The sequence below is a fragment of the Homo sapiens genome, chromosome 11 (genome assembly GCF_000001405.40).
Source record: "Homo sapiens chromosome 11, GRCh38.p14 Primary Assembly".
In the NCBI taxonomy this organism is placed as follows: Eukaryota; Metazoa; Chordata; class Mammalia; order Primates; family Hominidae; genus Homo; species Homo sapiens.
Window position 1 is genome coordinate 75,556,635 of NC_000011.10, and position 17,654 is coordinate 75,574,288.

The 17,654-nt window shown below is 54.1% G+C and overlaps 1 protein-coding gene across 9 annotated transcripts, besides 12 other annotated features; it reads left to right on the plus strand.

Moving 5' to 3' along the window:
- Window positions 1,610-1,840: a transcriptional cis regulatory region, noted in NCBI's record as "candidate enhancer chr11.4355 targeted for multiplex CRISPR interference". NCBI's record gives its function as "positively regulates SERPINH1 gene expression in K562 cells {active_cell/tissue: K562}" and the evidence as "EXISTENCE:mutant phenotype evidence [ECO:0000015][PMID:30612741]".
- Window positions 2,176-2,717: an enhancer, noted in NCBI's record as "H3K27ac hESC enhancer chr11:75269855-75270396 (GRCh37/hg19 assembly coordinates)". NCBI's record gives its function as "activates a minimal SCP1, AML or CMV promoter by ChIP-STARR-seq in primed H9 embryonic stem cells {active_cell/tissue: H9 hESC(primed)}" and the evidence as "EXISTENCE:reporter gene assay evidence [ECO:0000049][PMID:30033119]".
- Window positions 2,176-3,163: a biological region, named in NCBI's record as "CRISPRi-validated cis-regulatory element chr11.4356". NCBI's record gives its function as "regulatory_interactions: SERPINH1".
- Window positions 2,313-3,163: a transcriptional cis regulatory region, noted in NCBI's record as "candidate enhancer chr11.4356 targeted for multiplex CRISPR interference". NCBI's record gives its function as "positively regulates SERPINH1 gene expression with high confidence in K562 cells {active_cell/tissue: K562}" and the evidence as "EXISTENCE:mutant phenotype evidence [ECO:0000015][PMID:30612741]".
- Window positions 5,299-5,838: an enhancer, noted in NCBI's record as "NANOG-H3K27ac-H3K4me1 hESC enhancer chr11:75272978-75273517 (GRCh37/hg19 assembly coordinates)". NCBI's record gives its function as "activates a minimal SCP1, AML or CMV promoter by ChIP-STARR-seq in primed H9 embryonic stem cells {active_cell/tissue: H9 hESC(primed)}" and the evidence as "EXISTENCE:reporter gene assay evidence [ECO:0000049][PMID:30033119]".
- Window positions 5,355-5,614: a silencer, noted in NCBI's record as "silent region_3769". NCBI's record gives its function as "represses an Ori minimal core promoter by ATAC-STARR-seq in GM12878 lymphoblastoid cells {active_cell/tissue: GM12878}" and the evidence as "EXISTENCE:reporter gene assay evidence [ECO:0000049][PMID:35858748]".
- Window positions 5,619-16,149, plus strand: SERPINH1 (serpin family H member 1). Of its 9 annotated transcripts, none has more exons than NM_001440311.1 (6): window positions 5,619-5,744; window positions 7,093-7,136; window positions 9,682-10,337; window positions 12,097-12,195; window positions 12,305-12,537; window positions 15,147-16,149. In NM_001440311.1, the coding sequence occupies exons 3-6, from the start codon at window positions 9,716-9,718 to the stop codon at window positions 15,447-15,449; spliced, it is 1,257 nt and encodes a 418-aa protein (NP_001427240.1). In that variant the 5' UTR covers window positions 5,619-5,744; window positions 7,093-7,136; window positions 9,682-9,715; the 3' UTR covers window positions 15,450-16,149. The 9 variants fall into 9 exon arrangements, with proteins under 9 accessions (NP_001427240.1, NP_001193943.1, NP_001427242.1 ...); NM_001207014.3 differs by having other exon boundaries at window positions 5,619-5,685; NM_001440316.1 differs by lacking the exon at window positions 5,619-5,744 and adding an exon at window positions 5,839-6,382.
- Window positions 5,625-5,674: a silencer, noted in NCBI's record as "silent region_3770". NCBI's record gives its function as "represses an Ori minimal core promoter by ATAC-STARR-seq in GM12878 lymphoblastoid cells {active_cell/tissue: GM12878}" and the evidence as "EXISTENCE:reporter gene assay evidence [ECO:0000049][PMID:35858748]".
- Window positions 5,839-6,379: an enhancer, noted in NCBI's record as "NANOG-H3K27ac-H3K4me1 hESC enhancer chr11:75273518-75274058 (GRCh37/hg19 assembly coordinates)". NCBI's record gives its function as "activates a minimal SCP1, AML or CMV promoter by ChIP-STARR-seq in primed H9 embryonic stem cells {active_cell/tissue: H9 hESC(primed)}" and the evidence as "EXISTENCE:reporter gene assay evidence [ECO:0000049][PMID:30033119]".
- Window positions 6,380-6,918: an enhancer, noted in NCBI's record as "H3K27ac hESC enhancer chr11:75274059-75274597 (GRCh37/hg19 assembly coordinates)". NCBI's record gives its function as "activates a minimal SCP1, AML or CMV promoter by ChIP-STARR-seq in primed H9 embryonic stem cells {active_cell/tissue: H9 hESC(primed)}" and the evidence as "EXISTENCE:reporter gene assay evidence [ECO:0000049][PMID:30033119]".
- Window positions 9,310-9,925: an enhancer, noted in NCBI's record as "H3K27ac-H3K4me1 hESC enhancer chr11:75276989-75277604 (GRCh37/hg19 assembly coordinates)". NCBI's record gives its function as "activates a minimal SCP1, AML or CMV promoter by ChIP-STARR-seq in primed H9 embryonic stem cells {active_cell/tissue: H9 hESC(primed)}" and the evidence as "EXISTENCE:reporter gene assay evidence [ECO:0000049][PMID:30033119]".
- Window positions 9,926-10,540: an enhancer, noted in NCBI's record as "H3K27ac-H3K4me1 hESC enhancer chr11:75277605-75278219 (GRCh37/hg19 assembly coordinates)". NCBI's record gives its function as "activates a minimal SCP1, AML or CMV promoter by ChIP-STARR-seq in naive H9 embryonic stem cells {active_cell/tissue: H9 hESC(naive)}" and the evidence as "EXISTENCE:reporter gene assay evidence [ECO:0000049][PMID:30033119]".
- Window positions 11,775-12,275: an enhancer, noted in NCBI's record as "H3K4me1 hESC enhancer chr11:75279454-75279954 (GRCh37/hg19 assembly coordinates)". NCBI's record gives its function as "activates a minimal SCP1, AML or CMV promoter by ChIP-STARR-seq in primed H9 embryonic stem cells {active_cell/tissue: H9 hESC(primed)}" and the evidence as "EXISTENCE:reporter gene assay evidence [ECO:0000049][PMID:30033119]".

A 17,654-nucleotide genomic window follows, 5' to 3' on the forward strand; every position in this document is an offset into this window, starting at 1 on the left:
TTTTTCCAAAAGAACATGAATAATTTCAAATTGTGAAAATGTGTAAATAGGTAATGTACGCTCTGCACGCTGCTCTTCCACTCTAACACCAAATTCAGTATCAGGACATAAGAACTTCCTGGCTTTTTGTTTTTTTCCAGCTTCATGGTATTCTCAACCCCTATGGCTGGACAATTAGGTTGTTTCTGATTTTTGCTATTATAAATAGTGTTGCAGGGAATTATTCAATAACATATTTTTATTTAAAAGTGCCAACCACCTTCTAGAAAGCGTGTGCCAATTTTTCCTCCTGCCAGGAGTGTGTACAAATACTTTTACCTGTTTAAAATTAAATCCTTCAAACTCTTCCAGACTCAGCCCATATCCCATGTTACAGATGAGGAAATTGAGGTGCAGAGAGGTGCAGTGACTTTCCAAGGTCACCAGGGACAGATCCCAACACAAACTTTCTGACTCCCAGGCTGGGCTTCTCCTGCTTTGCCAGACTACTATCCTCTGCCTGTGCCTCCCCAGGGAAGTCCCCACTCCAGTCACAGCCCTTTGTTAGCGTCGTGTGTATGTGCAAGGTGAGGTGTGACTGGAACTGATGGGACAGCGCTCAGAGGACAGAGCAGGAATGGTCAGAGGACAGGGAAGGAATGGTCAGAGTGGCGTCTACGGGTTGTGTAAGATTTGACCAGTTGGTGAAGATGTGAGCAGAGGTGTGGAGTGGAGAGCCTAACATCACTTAGTGTTCACAAAGTCCTCTGCTATTCATTATTTTATCTGTGTGTCTCATCATCCTGCAGACTATCAGTCCTATTTTACAGAGGGGTAATTTAAATCATGGGTACATAGCCAAGAAGTGGCAGACCTGGGGCAGGATCCCAGGTCTCCTAACCCCCAAGTGAGGGCATTTCACACTCCATAGCACAGCAGGGCTGAACTGGGCTGAAGCAGATTAGAGGTGGTTTGGCAGGGTGTAGGGGGTGGTCAGAGCTCAGGAGTCCCTTTTCTGAGTGTCAGGGATGCTAAGACAAGGGAGGACAGCCCTGTAGCCCACCTGGGCATCACTGTTATTACAGGCTCAGCAGCACCTAAGGGAGAGGAGAACAAGACGGGAAGGGAAAGGCAGGGCTGTAGTTAACACACATCCTCCATCCCACCAGCCCTTCAGGCCTGGTCTTGCAGGCACTGGAGCTGGTTCCATGGGTTGCCAGAGGAAGCCTGAGAGAGGGAGGCTGGGAGAGGGGGCGGGGAACCTGATCCTGTGTATATGTCAATACCCAACAAAAACTTGTGTAGGGGGGTGGGGTGCATTTGGGTTACTGGAGTTACACAGACATGTGTGTACATGGATTGTGTGAAGGGGCTGCTCAAGTGCCGTGTGTGCACCATGTATGTGGGTGCACATACGCCTGTGTATATAGCGAGTCAGTGGGCTTGTGTCTCCTGGGTATTGTGCCAGGCATGTGGGTGAAGGCGCTGGAGTTCCTATGTGGCTTCGCTCAGCACCAGGATTGCAGACGGGTAGGGGCGGGCCTGCTCTGGGAGGAGGAGGGGAGGAATCATGTGCCCACCCACCCCCACATGGACCGGCTGCCCACCCTCCAACGTGGCAGCACGCAGGACAGCCCTTTTTGGATGGAAGGCCCCACGCTCCAAGAGAGAGAATCCAAGATTACAGAAATCGTGTTTTCCTGACTCATGCCTTGGGCTGAGAGCACATTCTTGGCTCCTGGACAGCATCTCAAAGAAGAGCTGCCTATAGCAGCCCTGGCTCCCTGAGGGAGGGGGCCGACCCTGGACTGGCTGTCGGAGCTTTCTGGGCTCCAATTTTATACCAATGTAAAAAGAAGGGGATTAAACTTCCTTCCGATTAACGTTCTATAATTAAAAGTGAGACACTAATGACGGTGCCCAGCACAGGCCTGGCAGCGGCAAAATGGCCCATAAATGTCACTTCCTTCTCGTCCACTCCCTGCCTTCCCGTGGATATGGCATAAACAGACCTGATTCAAAACCCAGCTCTGACTCTGGCTTGTTGTGTGCCCTTAACCCTGTTGCTTAGTCTCCCTGATCCTCAGTTTCTTCATGCTGAAAATTGGAACATTCTTCCTTACCTGAAAGGAATAAATATGATAATAAATGTGAATGTGTTGCACACTTAAATGACATGCAAGTTTTTGTCCTAGGATTCTATGGGGTGAAGACTGAGTGAATCTAGCCACTGGGGCCAAAGAAAGCTGTTTCCACAGCACCTGGCAGAACTGGGCCTACATACCCCCCTGGGTCATTAGAGGGTACTGTGGGAGAAAGAGGGCTGGGAGTCCAGGGCTTAGGCTCCAGCCCAGCCCCACCTCTGATATGCTGTGTGACCTTGGGTAAATTCCTGCCCTCTCTGGGCTTCCGTTGTCCTCTCTGTATAGTGTGGATGCAGTTGGACTTGATGGTTTTCTACTTTCTGCTGTCCACACCTCTCGGGACCTAGGGATCTAGAGGATTTCCAGCCAGCCTCCACGTGCCAGGCACCAGGACCACTTCCTTCAGTGAAGCGAGGCACTGGAGGAGTCCAGAGACAAAATGCTTGAGAGTTTCTCTGCTTATCAGACTCTTCTCCCCCACCCCCTAAAAGAGTGCTTTTTCCGGAAAGCTCTGCCTGGAATGTGGGGGAAGGGCCACAGTCAGTCTGGGCTGGGCTCAGAGCTAAGAATATTGTGGCAAAGGCTCTTGACTTTTTTTTTTTTTGCTGATCTTGGAAATTTAAAGGAGCCGTTGCTTTCCCTTCTTCAGGGAGGCTGTGCTAGGGGCACAGCAGCCTCAGGCAGCCACTTCTCATCCCCTGGCCAGCCATGCTTACCCAGTGCCTCTTCCATACTGTCCCCTTGCTGGAGCTGGGGACTCACAGTGACAAGGAAAAGGCCCTGCCCTTCCAAAGTCTCCAGTGATGGTTCACTGACAATACAGGGTGATAACAGAGATAATGCAGCAGTGGGATAGGTCACAGAGGAGGCTTCTGACCCGGTGTGAGATTAGTGGGGGTCGGATGGGGGTTGGGCCTTCAGACCCAGCCCTCCTTAGGCCTCAGCTTTGCTGTCTGTAAGGGCAGGTCCTCTCTTCAGTGACCACTCATGATACTGGGTCTATTTAACAGCATGAGCTTTGGTTTATCCCTCAAAATGGGACAGTCACAGCACTCTCAGTCTCCCCCTCAGGTGTTGGTGAAGCCTAAAAGAGCTAAGAGATGTAAGAGAGTAGAGGAAGGGAGTCTCACTGGGATTGTGACATCTGAACCTGCTGAAAACCCAGGCGACCCTCTCTGTTTTGCCAGCATTGATGGGCACTCTTTGTTTCTGCTCTGCCCTGCCCTCAGCTCACTGACCAAGTCACAAGGAAGCCTGAGGGCCAATGTGGGGGTGGGAGTAGAGAGTGGGGTCTGGCCTGGGACCCGGGAGGTCTCCTTGGATAAACAAGAATTTATCTTTTTTTTTTGAGATGGAGTCTCGCTCTGTCACCCATGCTGGAGTGCAGTGGCATGATCTCGGCTCACTGCAAACTCCACCTCCCAGGTTCAAGAGATTCTCCCGCCTCAGCCTCCTGAGTAGCTGGGATTACAGGCACATGACACCACAGCTGGCTAATTTTCATATTTTTATTAGAGATGGGGTTTCACCATTTTGGCCACGCTGATCTTGAACTGCTGACCTCAGGTGATCCACCCACCTCGGCCTTCCAAAGTGCTGGGATTACAGGCATGAGCCACCGCGCCCAGCCTAGAATTTATCTTTAAAAGCAATATACAGTTGAGGCAGGAGGAAGCACATGAGAACCACGACAGCCACCCCAAAGAGATGGACACCATGCCAAGGCTGGAAGCTTTTGTTAATAATCAGACCTGTCCTAAAAAAGAATGCGGGGCTGCCTCTGAAGGAGGTAAGCTCTCTCTTCTTAGAGGTGCCTCGGTGCTTGCCTTTTTGGGATACTGAGAAGAGGGCTTCTGCCTGGGGCTGCAGACAGGAACCCCTGACCTCTGAGATGCCTTGCAGCTCAGAGTCTTTAATACATTTATTCCAGAATCCTTCGACTCTGAGATTTTAACATGTTAAGATTCCTTAGCTGGATTCAAAGACTCCTTGGGGGCTTTGAGTGGAAGTAATCTCTGATTCCTTGACCCTGAATCACAGAGTCTGAAGCTTTTGGGATCTGAGATTTCCCACAGTCCTTGTACTCAAAAGACTCTGAGCTGCAGAAGCCTACCCAGACAGAGAGGTTTGTCACCACCACCAGGCTTCCCCACAACCACTAACAGAGGGCAGGGACCCAGGTGATTGACTCATTTGCTGGGTACTGGGATTTTTTTGCTCCCCAGGATCCAGGCAAGCACCTAGAAGAAAGAAGATACTCAATGCATTCATTCATGACTGAATGAATGAAGAGTCCCTACCCTGTCCCTTCCTCTCCATACTGCGTCCATCCAATAGCTATCATTAAACTACTAAAGAGGACTTTTCGGAGGGTAGGGAGCCTCGGCTGATCAGAAATTGAGCCACTGTCGCCCAGATTATTTAGGGTTTCCTAAATAATCTGCCTCACTGAATCACTGAATTCCCTACTAACAGGTACATACCCCACAGATGGACATCGCACAGGGCAAGGACTTTGTTCAGCTCTCAGCTGTGTCCTCAGCACCTAGAACAGTAATGAATACCCTAGCTTAACTTGGAGGTCAAGGAGCTATCAGTTTGCGAGGGTGGGGTAGGAATTGACAGTGAGACCTGAGGCCTGTGGGAGGGGACCCAAAGAGGGAGGGGATGCAATAGGGAGGGGGCCAGGGGTGACAAGGATTGAGGAAGGGAGAGAGGGGGGAAAAAAAGCAAGGGATGCCTTAGAACCACATTTCACAGCCAAGGGAACAGAGGCCCAGAAAGGGAAAGTAACCTGCTTAGGGTCACACAGCACCTTGCTCAGTGGAGAGCCAGGTTTTCCTTCCTGTGCACTCCTCCAAGCCCAGCCAGACCACCTGAAGTTCCCCAGGCATCTCTGCCTCTATTACTCCACGACTTGAACTTTCCGGGTGCCGGGCAGGTACCGGGTCTGGTCTGCTCCCTCTCCCTCTGGCCATCGCTGAGGTTGAGGTTTTTTGAATGTACAAGTATGGAGAAGGGCACTGCCTTCAGAAGCCTGAACGTCTCCCCTGAGAGGGAGGGGGTGCACAGGACTCAATTGTTTCAGCTTGAAAATGGGGGAGAGCGGGGAGAAGGGGAGATGGCTCTGCTTGGGGCAGAGCCCCTGCGGGGAAAGGGGCGCCTGAAAGGACGTGCGATTCGGAGTGGGCTAGCTTATGCAGAGAGCCTGGGGGTGGGAGGAAGCTCGCACTCTGAAGGACACGCTGATCCCCGTGGGGACTCCCGGCGCCCCGCAGCCCGGGCCGCCGAGGGAGGCAGTAGGACCCAGGGGCCGGGAGGCGCCGGCAGAGGGAGGGGCCGGGGGCCGGGGAGGTTTTGAGGGAGGTCTTTGGCTTTTTTTGGCGGAGCTGGGGCGCCCTCCGGAAGCGTTTCCAACTTTCCAGAAGTTTCTCGGGACGGGCAGGAGGGGGTGGGGACTGCCATATATAGATCCCGGGAGCAGGGGAGCGGGCTAAGAGTAGAATCGTGTCGCGGCTCGAGAGCGAGAGTCACGTCCCGGCGCTAGCCCAGCCCGACCCAGGTGAGGGGCGGGAGACGCCTGCGTGCGTGCGGCCCGGGGGAGCGCCGAGCAATCTGGGGGTGCGCGAGGGAGTAAGAGGGGCGAGGGGACCCTGCGAAGCGTTGGGTGCCGAGCCAGAGCCTACAAATTGGAGTCCTCGGCACTTTGGGGGCCGCTGGAGGGTTTGGAATCGAGAGCCCAGGGCTAGCCAGTGATGGTGCCAGCTGAGGGCTAGGGCGGAGATCGGAGCCGGGTTGGGAGTCCGTGCACTCGGAGGACTGGGAAAAAGTGCAGGGACCCCTAAAAGGTGGTGGTGGCAGATACGAGACTAGGTGCTGTGTAAAGGGGGCTGGGGGCAGAGAGCAGAGCCTCTGCGGAAAGAAACAGAGGAGGAAGGAGATGGGTCTGGTGCCTCTTCCCGCAAGGGTAGGGAGGATAGGCCGGCCTCGCAGTTCCAGGTCACTTCCGTTCTGGGGTTGAGGCTCAGGGGCAGCGGTGATTGGTGGCCCAGCCTCCTCACAGGCTTGCTGAGGGAATTTGAGCTTCCGGTGGTGGGAAAGGAGGTGAAATCGTCTCGACTCCTGGGGTCCGTGTGCTCTGGTAGAAGTGGGCGACAGTGGCTCAATTTCTGATCAGCAGCTTGCAGCCTAGATGATGGCAGCCAAAGGAAAGACTTGGCCAGCGAGGCTCCCTACCACTCCGAAAAAAGAGAGTGGGGGTCAGCAGGGTCTGCTCTGCTCTGGGGATTAAGGGGCTGACTAGAAGGATTTGAGTCTTTCCTTCTGTCCACTGCCACAGGGTTCTTGGAGTAACTGCAGGGTTTAAACTGCAGGGTCTAACTTCCAGAGGCTGGGGTTCCCTGCCCCCCAGCTTAGAGACATTCCTGAGGTGGCTGAAGAGCAGGAAGGAGAATGAATGCACTTCCAGACTGGCCCAGAGTCTCAGCCCCTCCTCTTCCTTGTTTCCCGCTGGTCCCTCTGGGCTGTACGGCCCGGATGGAGGCCTGAGGAAAATGAGGGGGCTTTGGTTCTCCGGAATTCCGGCCGGGGCCACACCCTCCTGTCTTCAGATGGTTCATGTACCCATCCCCCCTTCCCGTCCTCTCCTTTGTCTCCTCTGTCACCGGGACTCCCAGCAGAGATTTTTTTTTTGTACTGGCTGTGTAACAGGACACCGCATGCAGCCCTCAGGAGGGGCTCTGTGCTTCTGTGAGGAAGGACCCCTGTGCTGGGAAGGCAGACCCCTGTTTATCCCGAGGGACCTGGGGTGACCCCCTGCCCTGGCCTTGTTTCTCCCATTTTACAGTGAGGTGGTCGATCTCCAAGGTCCCTGTAGATTGGGGACTGGTTGTGCCCTCTGCGCCAGGGGCCTCCTCACCATCTCTCCTTTGCCGGCTCCCGCCCTCTTCACTCTTCTGTTTTCTTTCAGAATGAAAAAGGCAGGCATTGACCTCCCTCTGAGGCAGTTTCCAGGTACTTTAGACCTCTCAAGTGTTTGGGACCCTCTGGTGGGGTCCCATCATCTCCTCCCCTTCCCTTCCAGACCCTGCTCAGTCCAGCTAGCTGTGGGCACAGCCCTGGCTAGGTGATCTTGTATTTTCTTTGTGGGACTGTAACTCAGCTAACCTTGGCCTGAGGGCTGGCATTTCTCTGTGGCAAGATGGGCTGGGCTGTGGGAGGCTGGCCTGCTTGCAGTAACTTGCCTTCCCCCATTCCTGCTGCTGGGTTCAGTGGGGCTGCCCTTCTCCCCAGTAGCGCATTTCCCTTCAGAGATTCATGTGCGGATGGGAAGGGAACTAAGGCCAAGAAGGCTCCTGGAGTCCCCTGGCAAATATGTGGCACCCCCTGGGACCTGAGTCAGGCCTGCTTCCCAGGCTGGAAGCCCCCCTCTGCCGGCCGGTGGAGATAGTTCAGCCTCCTGCCTGCCACGTCACCACCAGGAGCAGGCGCTAAGCTGCTGCGGGCCTAGCGGGCTGCCTGAGGAATCCCAAACCAGTTATTTGGAGCTTGCTTGAGAAGCCCCTCCCAGTCCTTTGAGGTTCTGGCTGGTGGGGGTGGGGGCTGTCAAGATGGTACCTGCCACGTGGCATGGCTGGGAGTGGGCTCTTCAGCTGCCTCCTCAGGGAAGGAAGGCTGTTGGCCTCTGCTGTGGTCTGAGCTCCAGCATCACTGGTCTGGATCAGAGGTGGCTTTTGAGTAGGGTGGCCATATGCCTATTGTCCTGGCATAATAATTAGTAGTGCCCATTTTACTCTTATAAGTGTCCTTGTTTGTGCAATAAATTATATGGTTGCTCTGCCTTTGAGGCTCCAGTTCTGGCAGGGAAGGAGCCAGAGCTGGGAGGGAGGTGTCTTGGGGTTTATTCTAGGCCCCAAGATATCCCCTTCATTTTAGGGTGAGACTCAGATCTCCCCGCTCCTTCCAGACATTTTTAGATCTCTGGGCCTTCCCTCCTCTCCCCACCTCCCTCCCCTTGGACCCTTTGCTTATCTTATACTGCACCTTCAAGGCTCCGAGGAGGGAGGCAGTCCCGGGAGATGGGGAGCCTGTCCAGGTTTTTGGGATGGCAGCAGTAGAATCTTCCCAGAAATACAGTGGTCCCCAGGCAGCCAGAGTCCTGAGGGTCTTCCACCAGGATTTCAAATGTTCGGTCTTCTTCAAGGATGACTACAAGTTGGGATCTACCAGAGCAGTGGGATCGCAGCCTCCACCAGGATTCCTTCTATCCTTCCCTTTGCCCTGTCATCTCTCCTGTGCTGTTGCATGATGTAGAGGAGGATAATGGCCCGAAGGGAGAGAGGGAGTGTGGAAGTATCCCAGGAACAGAGACTGTCCAAATTGGAGGCCCCAGAGAGGGAACTGGGGCTTGTCCTTGGGGCCACTGCTACTGCTGGGGCTTGGGGAGGAGGCCTGAGGGCAACCCTGAAGCCGTGGAGCAGATGGCCTGTGTGGCAGTGGCTGTCAGATTGGAGGGCAGAATGGAATCTGATGTGGCTCCAGCTTCTTTGAAGGCTGAGTGCACATCTGGCCAGCTGCTGGTGATGGGGAAGGGGGTCACTGCTCTATTGAGCTATGTGTGACTCACCCTTTTCCCTAGTATCCTGTCCTTGTGCTATGTCAGGAAGCCTCCTCCCCAGCCCCACCGAGTCTTCAAAGGAGTTGGTCCCCCAGGAGCTTTTGTCCTGGGGATTTCCCATCCGCACTGGGAGCACTGTGGGTAGATGGGCATTCCAAGTTCCTGCCCAGACAGAAGCCATGGGCATGGAGACCTGGACCTTTCAGCTTGGAAAAGGGAGACTGAGGCTGAGTGGACACAGGACACACACACACACACTCTCAGGGTCACCCTTGGGGCAGCAAAGTGGAGCATCTTGGCTCCCCATTTAATGAGTGACCCAACTGGTGACTCATTAACATCCCAGAGCAGAATGAAAGGCATGGGGGCGGGGCAGCCCTCCGGCTCTGTCCCTCATCCCTTGCCCAGGCATCTGGGTTTCCTGCAGATTCTCAGCTCAGCTGCTGCTTTTTCTCACTGGAAAAGGGCTCCCAGGGCTATGTGAGATCAGGGCTGACCACTCTATAAACTGATGAGGACCCCAGGTCTGGCCAAGTGACCCTGTTTTACCTTCGTTCAGGAAGAGCTGAGGCCTACTGTGTACTAGGCACGGGAGATATAGTGGCAACCAGATTGGCTAGCTTTTCTGTCCTGGAGGCCACAGCCTACTTAGGAGCAGAAATAGTTATGAAATAAACACACAAATAAGTGGAAGTGTTGGCTGGCCGATGCAGGAAATCAATAAGGTGGTCTGGTGGTGACTTGCTGGGAATGCTTCTTTGAGTAGGGAGGTAACAGAGGCCTCTGAGAGGCTGGCAGCTCTGAGTCAAGTCTGGGATTCCTGGACTGTGGGCTCTCTTGCCCCCATCTCCAGGGGACTTGTGGCAGCCAGAGAGCTGAGGGTGGTTGTTGGGGAGGAAGGCCTTGGGCTTCAAGACCACCCTGTCTGTGCAATCCTCACAGGCCCACCGTGGTGCACGCAAACCACTTCCTGGCCATGCGCTCCCTCCTGCTTCTCAGCGCCTTCTGCCTCCTGGAGGCGGCCCTGGCCGCCGAGGTGAAGAAACCTGCAGCCGCAGCAGCTCCTGGCACTGCGGAGAAGTTGAGCCCCAAGGCGGCCACGCTTGCCGAGCGCAGCGCCGGCCTGGCCTTCAGCTTGTACCAGGCCATGGCCAAGGACCAGGCAGTGGAGAACATCCTGGTGTCACCCGTGGTGGTGGCCTCGTCGCTAGGGCTCGTGTCGCTGGGCGGCAAGGCGACCACGGCGTCGCAGGCCAAGGCAGTGCTGAGCGCCGAGCAGCTGCGCGACGAGGAGGTGCACGCCGGCCTGGGCGAGCTGCTGCGCTCACTCAGCAACTCCACGGCGCGCAACGTGACCTGGAAGCTGGGCAGCCGACTGTACGGACCCAGCTCAGTGAGCTTCGCTGATGACTTCGTGCGCAGCAGCAAGCAGCACTACAACTGCGAGCACTCCAAGATCAACTTCCGCGACAAGCGCAGCGCGCTGCAGTCCATCAACGAGTGGGCCGCGCAGACCACCGACGGCAAGCTGCCCGAGGTCACCAAGGACGTGGAGCGCACGGACGGCGCCCTGCTAGTCAACGCCATGTTCTTCAAGCGTGAGTCGGGGGCGCGTTCAGGGGTCCTCCTCCTCCTCCCAGGACCCCCTGCAAGAGTTAGGACGACATTCCGTGCGCTCCATTCTTCACTGCCTCTCATTTATGCTGTGACAACCCAGGGAGGCAGGACTGTCACTCAGCTTTTTGTACAGACTGGAAACTAGATTCAGAGACAGGTAGCAGCGTGTAAAGGAATGGTTCAGGGAGCGGAGGCCCCAGAGGGACTCCATGGAATGTATTCCGACCGAATTTCGTCAAAGTGCTCGTCCTTGTGTATCTTGGAATGAATAACATTTAATAATCCATTCTGCCTCAGTAGTGAGCTAGAGAAAGAACTCAAATCCTTTTTTTAAAATTATTTTTATTTTGAGATGGAGTCTCACTCTGTCACCCAGGCTGGAGTGCAATGGCACGATCTCAGCTCACTGCAGCCTTGGCCTCCGGGCTTCAAGCAATTCTCCTGCCTCAGCCTCCTGAGTAGCTGGGGTTACAGGTGCCTACCACCACACCCAGCTAATTTTTGTATTTTTACTAGAGACGGGGTTTTGCCATGTTGGCCAGGCTGGTCTCAAACTTTTGGTCTCAAGTGATCTGCCCGCCTCGGCCTCCCAAAGTGCTGGGATTACAGGTGCGAGCCACCATGTGCGGCCAAGACCCAGAATCCTTAAAGCAACCTTGGGGGCAGGCAGTGTTACCTTCATTTCACAGTGAGGAAACTGAGGCTCAGCAAGGAGGAAGCAGAGCCAGGCCTCAGGCCCAGATGCCTCTGTCTTCAGTTGAAGATTAGATGTAGGGTTAATAAATATTTTTGAGTACCTCCATAGACAACACTATTCTCACAGTTTGCTGTGAGAATGAAGTAACCCTCGTTTTACAAATGAGGCCAAGCTAGGAGAGCTGAGGTCTCCCCGAGTCAGTGGCTGAGCTTGGATTGGAACACAGGTCTGGCTGTGAGCAAGGGCAGGGTTCAGGCCACTCTCAGACATTTTTTGTTGTTATTTTCTGGTCATGGAGACAGAACTTGCAGAGGAAAACGAAGGGTGGGCTGAGCACAGTAGCTCATGCCTGTAATCCTAGCACTTTGGGAGGCCAAGGTGGGTGGATCACATGAGCCCAGGAATTTGAGACCAGCCTGGGTAAGATGGCGAAACCCCATGTCTACAAAAAATTAGCCAGGCGTGGTGGCGCATGCTGGTAGTCCCAGCTACTCTGGAGGCTGAGGTGGGAGGATCGCTGGAGCCTGGGAATTCAAGACTGCAGTGTGTCATGATTGTACCACTGCACTCCAGCTGTAGGATGGAGTGGGACGGACCTTGTCTCAAAAAGAAAAAGATAAAAAAAAAATTAAGGGTGGTCATGGGGCACTCCCTGCCCAGGGCACAGCTGTCCCCCAGGTACCAGGGAGGGTAGAAAGCCCACCTCAGAGCATGTTTCCAAAATATCTGACAAGTGCTAGAGCCGGGGGTGGCCATAGAGGTGGCTGACCTGAGGGCGGAATTAATTCTCTATCATATGGGAGCAGCAGGCACTGACTGTAGGGAACCGCATCCTCAGATGGCATGTCCTGGGGCCAAGACCCCTTCCCAAAGCTGGGAACATAGACTCTGTGGGCTGGGTGCTCTATAGCTGGGCCCTGAAGAATGGAGCAAAGACCTGTGGCAAGGATAAATCAAGGTCTGCAGCCGGGGGTGGCTGTGGGCTGTGATTGTGTTTGGGGGCGGCCATGTGTCTCTGACCCTGTGTTTTGCCCCAACTACAGCACACTGGGATGAGAAATTCCACCACAAGATGGTGGACAACCGTGGCTTCATGGTGACTCGGTCCTATACCGTGGGTGTCATGATGATGCACCGGACAGGTAGGTGCTGTGAGGAGCAGGGTGTCAAGGTGGGTGGGGGTCCAAGGGTAGTTGGTCTGACCCACCCCTGCACACAGGGTGCCCAGTGTCCTTTCCGCTCCTCTCCCAGGCCTCTACAACTACTACGACGACGAGAAGGAAAAGCTGCAAATCGTGGAGATGCCCCTGGCCCACAAGCTCTCCAGCCTCATCATCCTCATGCCCCATCACGTGGAGCCTCTCGAGCGCCTTGAAAAGCTGCTAACCAAAGAGCAGCTGAAGATCTGGATGGGGAAGATGCAGAAGAAGGCTGTTGCCATCTCCTTGCCCAAGGGTGTGGTGGAGGTGACCCATGACCTGCAGGTAAGGGGTGGCCCAGCCTAGGGGCCTGCAGGCCTTGGAGCCAGGGGGAGGTGCTTGGGGGACCCACTCACCAATTCAGCAGGTCTGTCCCAAGACCCCCTGGATGTCCAGGCAGTGCTGGGCTCTGTGATGGGGGAAGCTGGGGCAGGAGGTGTGGGCCATGCCCTTGGGAAGATGATGATAATACCAGCAGCTAAATATAACGGAACATTCCTGTATGCTAGGCGTTCTTCTAAGCACTTTATATGTATTATTATTATTTTTTTTTTGAGATGGAGTCTCACTCTGTTGCCCAGGCTGGAGTGCAATGGTGCCATCTCGACTCACTGCAACCTCCACTTCCTGGGTTCAAGCGATTCTCCTGCCTCAGCCTCCCGAGTAGCTGGGATTACAGGCATGTGCCACCACCCCCAGCTAATTTTTGTATTTTTAATAGAGACGGGATTTCACCATGTTGGCCAGGCTGGTCTCAAACTCCTGACATCAAGTGATCCTCCTGCCTCAGCCTCCCAAAGTGCTGGGATTACAGGTGTGAGCCACCGTGCCCAGCCTTTATACGTATTAAACTCTTTTAATCCTCAAAACGACTTTATTAGGTAGGACTATAAGTTTCATCTTAGAGATGAGGAAACTGAGGCTCAGAAAGGTTAAGTAACCTGTGCAAAGTCACACAGCTAGTAATTCAGACATCTTGCACCAGAGCTAACCCTCGGTCACTGCACTGCCTCTGAGGTCTGAAGTGCCCCCAGTTATAGATTGTTTAAGCTAGAGGATTATCTACCATCCAATAATCAGACTGGTAGCTATGGGTCATCTAGGATGGCCAGAAACTTAACACACATTCTCAAGATTCTCCCTTGCAACCACCCTGGGTAGTGGGCAGAGGCTCAGAGAGAAGCAATGACTCCCTAAGGTTCCCCAGGCTCATAAGTGGTGGAGTTGCAATTAGACCTCAAGGTAAAAACATAATAGCCGCCTTTTTGTCAATCGAGAGATATTTTTGACTTACCCAAAAAAGGAAACTTTCGTGTCATTCTTTCCTTGGATGCCACAAATGGTTCTCACCTGCAGAATCGATCCAGACTTGCTGCCCAGAGAGCTTGGAGAGATAAAGCTGGAGATGAAGTGGGGCTTAGGCTCCAAACCAGGGACAAGTGGAGCTCGTACTGGTCTGTGCTGTAGACCCTGGGAGTTCCTGGAGAGGGGTCACTGTCTCTCTCCTGGTCCTGGCCCTGATCCTTCCCCAGCCCCTTCTCCAGTGGCTGTTGTCCCACCCCCTTCTCCCCTTGTTCCTCTGGTGTCTTCCTGGAACCCTCAGTGGAGACCCCACCCCCCAGATATGGGGTAGATTGAGTTAGGAAATTTGAGGCGGATGACGTGTGCAAGGTCATCCGGGTGGGAAGAGCTGGGCCTACCTCGAATGCCTGTCTCATGACCCCCTGACTCTCAGGACCTCAGGCCTAGTTCCTGTGTGGCCTTGCCAGGGAGGTGGATGTTATCCTGAAGAATCCTGGACCCGGATGCTGCCATTCACTCAGCCCACAGCCATTTACTGTCCTCTCTCCTGCATTGAGAGCCAGGGAGAGCGCTGGACATGGGCCCCGCCCTCAGGGAGCTCCAAGCCAGGTGGGAGAGACAGGCAGCACCAGACTGATAACAGGAAGGTCCAGGGAGGCACCACTCATCCTGTGGGCTCGGGAAGGCTTCCTGAAAGAAGTGGTTTCTAAAGAGCCCTAATGGGAGACAGGATGGCCATCCAGGATATAAGCTGTTCTGTGAGGCTGTCTGGAGAGTGGGGTGGGGCGTGCCAAGGGATGTGGCTGGAGGCTGCCACGTAGGCACAGGTCATATGTTAAAGAGCTTATGGTTGGCTTCCAAGAGCTGTGCAGGGCCATGGAAAGATGTTTGTGTGTGTGTGTGTGTGTATGTGTGTATATGTGTTTTAACTTTTTACTATCGAACATTGGAAAAATAAAAGTAGATTAGTGTAATGAAACCTCAAGTGTCTGTCGCCCAGCTTCAAGCATTATCAGCTCATGGCCAATAGTGATCCATTTATACCCACTAATTCCCCCCTGCATCTGATTATTCTGAAGCAAATTCCAGGCATCCTATCACTCTGGACAGGTTTTCAGCCCCAGAGTGATGTGGACATAGTTGTCCTTAGATCAGTCTTTCTCAAACTTGAGTATGCTAAGAAAGCACTTGGGGAGTTTGTGAAAAGGAATCCATGCCCACTCCCAGAGATTCTGATTCAGGGGGTCTGGGCTGGGGTCAGGACATGAGCATTTGAGATAAGCTCCTGGGTGGTGCCCATGCTGTCTGTCCCTGAACTGCAGCTGGGCAGTGCCGGGATACGTTCTCACTTGTTTTTCTGAGTCTCAGCTTCCTCATCTGTGAAGTGGCAATTAGAAGCCCTTGTAGGGTTGCAGTGAGAATTGAGAAAGCTGTGATTTGAAGTGCCAGTGCCATGCCTGGCATACAGAAGGTGACCAGGGGGTGGTTCTCTCCTCTCTGAGGAGCGGTCAGGGTAGTATGGGGTGGAGGGTTTGAGGGTGGAGGAGCCTGGCAGCCATGGCCTCACCTGGCACACCTCCTTGTTCCCACAGAAACACCTGGCTGGGCTGGGCCTGACTGAGGCCATTGACAAGAACAAGGCCGACTTGTCACGCATGTCAGGCAAGAAGGACCTGTACCTGGCCAGCGTGTTCCACGCCACCGCCTTTGAGTTGGACACAGATGGCAACCCCTTTGACCAGGACATCTACGGGCGCGAGGAGCTGCGCAGCCCCAAGCTGTTCTACGCCGACCACCCCTTCATCTTCCTAGTGCGGGACACCCAAAGCGGCTCCCTGCTATTCATTGGGCGCCTGGTCCGGCCTAAGGGTGACAAGATGCGAGACGAGTTATAGGGCCTCAGGGTGCACACAGGATGGCAGGAGGCATCCAAAGGCTCCTGAGACACATGGGTGCTATTGGGGTTGGGGGGGAGGTGAGGTACCAGCCTTGGATACTCCATGGGGTGGGGGTGGAAAAACAGACCGGGGTTCCCGTGTGCCTGAGCGGACCTTCCCAGCTAGAATTCACTCCACTTGGACATGGGCCCCAGATACCATGATGCTGAGCCCGGAAACTCCACATCCTGTGGGACCTGGGCCATAGTCATTCTGCCTGCCCTGAAAGTCCCAGATCAAGCCTGCCTCAATCAGTATTCATATTTATAGCCAGGTACCTTCTCACCTGTGAGACCAAATTGAGCTAGGGGGGTCAGCCAGCCCTCTTCTGACACTAAAACACCTCAGCTGCCTCCCCAGCTCTATCCCAACCTCTCCCAACTATAAAACTAGGTGCTGCAGCCCCTGGGACCAGGCACCCCCAGAATGACCTGGCCGCAGTGAGGCGGATTGAGAAGGAGCTCCCAGGAGGGGCTTCTGGGCAGACTCTGGTCAAGAAGCATCGTGTCTGGCGTTGTGGGGATGAACTTTTTGTTTTGTTTCTTCCTTTTTTAGTTCTTCAAAGATAGGGAGGGAAGGGGGAACATGAGCCTTTGTTGCTATCAATCCAAGAACTTATTTGTACATTTTTTTTTTCAATAAAACTTTTCCAATGACATTTTGTTGGAGCGTGGAAGAAGATTGGATCAGGAGATTCTTACACCATTCTTCCCAGGGGACAAGGTCTCCTGTTAAGGCAGACTCGCTACTGATGGCTCATATCAGGCCCTGGAATGCTGGCAGATCGCTGGCAGATCACTGTGCAGACAGCGCCAAGTGGCAGGTGCATTCCGTGCTGACCCGGGAAATGGTTCTGGCTCTGGCAGCCCTGGAGAAGTAGCAGCTGCAGGACCTGAATGAGAGCACTGGACCTGGAGCCAGTCTTCAGCCTCTTCGCCTTTCTTTCTTTACCCTTTTTTTAAGATGTGAATCTTGCTATATTGCCCAGGCTGGACTCAAACTCCTGGGTTCCAGCGAACCTCCTTCCTCAGCCTCCTGAGTAGCTGGGACTACAGGCAGGGCTATGGGCATGAGCCACTATGCCCAGCTCCCCTAGCCTTTCCTTGCACGCTGACCTCATGCTACATCCAGGGCTACAGGTACAAACTCAGGCACACATTTAGTAAGTTGCCTGGCTTTGGGCTGGGCTTTGGAAGGAGATTGTGGGGATCCTTGCCCTTAGGTGGCCCGAAGTGTTGGATTTGTAGCAGGGGAGGAGGAGGCACCCAACACGGTCCTTTTTGACACAGTCCTCCGGTTGGATGCCTCATGGTCCTTAGGGCTCCTGACACCGTACCTTAGGGAGAGAGAGGGATGCACGGAACAGAGCCAGTGGCCAGGGAGGCAGAGGAGCAGAGGATATTGGGCTGGAGGCCCATTTCTGCTGCCTGCTGGCCTTTTAACCTAGGACAGGTCATTTTTCTCTCTGGGCACGTCCAGCTTTCCTCTGCCAAAGATTGTGACCTGGGGGTTGTTGGTTCAGGAAGGGACCCCTTACCTGGCTGAGCAATCCAGCAGTAGCCACCAAGATGTACATGGGTCTGCAGAAGGGCCAGCTGATTCACTCCCATCATTGCCACGACAGAGTTTCAGCAAGACTGCTCAGAGTCCCAGGGCCATCCTGTGCTTCGGCTCAATCATTCAGATCTCTATCCTCAAGGGGCTTTGTCTAGAGGTGGAGACTTAGGGATAGGGTACTCAGTGCTCACTGTGTTCCAGGCACCTGGATCATTCTGTTCCAGGTGTGCCACGCTTGTCCCCCTGCCTCAGGGACTTTGCACTAGCTGTCCTTTCTGCCTGGCAGGCGGTTCTTGTAGATGTTTGCAGGGTTGCTTTTTGTCATCCAGGATTCAGCGTAAACGTCTGCTCAGAGAGGCCTTCCCTGACCACCCTACACAAGCAGTCCCTCTCCCACCTCAGTTTCTCTACCATGATTTCTCACTTTACTGACTCCTTAGCACTATGAAATTACCCACTTAAGACTTCCCTGCCTGCCTCCCCTCTTAGAATGGAAGCTCCATGAAGAGAGGGTCCATGGCTGTTTGTCTATTGCAGCAAATCCTGCACCTAGCTTTAGCATCATGCACATATCGAGGAAGGCTCCCAGGAGGAGGTGATATGGGG

What these genes read in the sequence shown, in the direction of transcription:
- SERPINH1 (NM_001440311.1), top strand. Translation starts at nt 9,716, where the DNA reads ATGCGCTCCCTCCTGCTTCTCAGCGCCTTCTGCCTCCTGGAGGCGGCC. An exon ending in CATGATGATGCACCGGACAG is followed by an intron (nt 12,196 to 12,304) that starts GTAGGTGCTGTG and finishes CTCCTCTCCCAG; the next exon opens with GCCTCTACAACTACTACGAC. An exon ending in AGGTGACCCATGACCTGCAG is followed by an intron (nt 12,538 to 15,146) that starts GTAAGGGGTGGC and finishes TTGTTCCCACAG; the next exon opens with AAACACCTGGCTGGGCTGGG.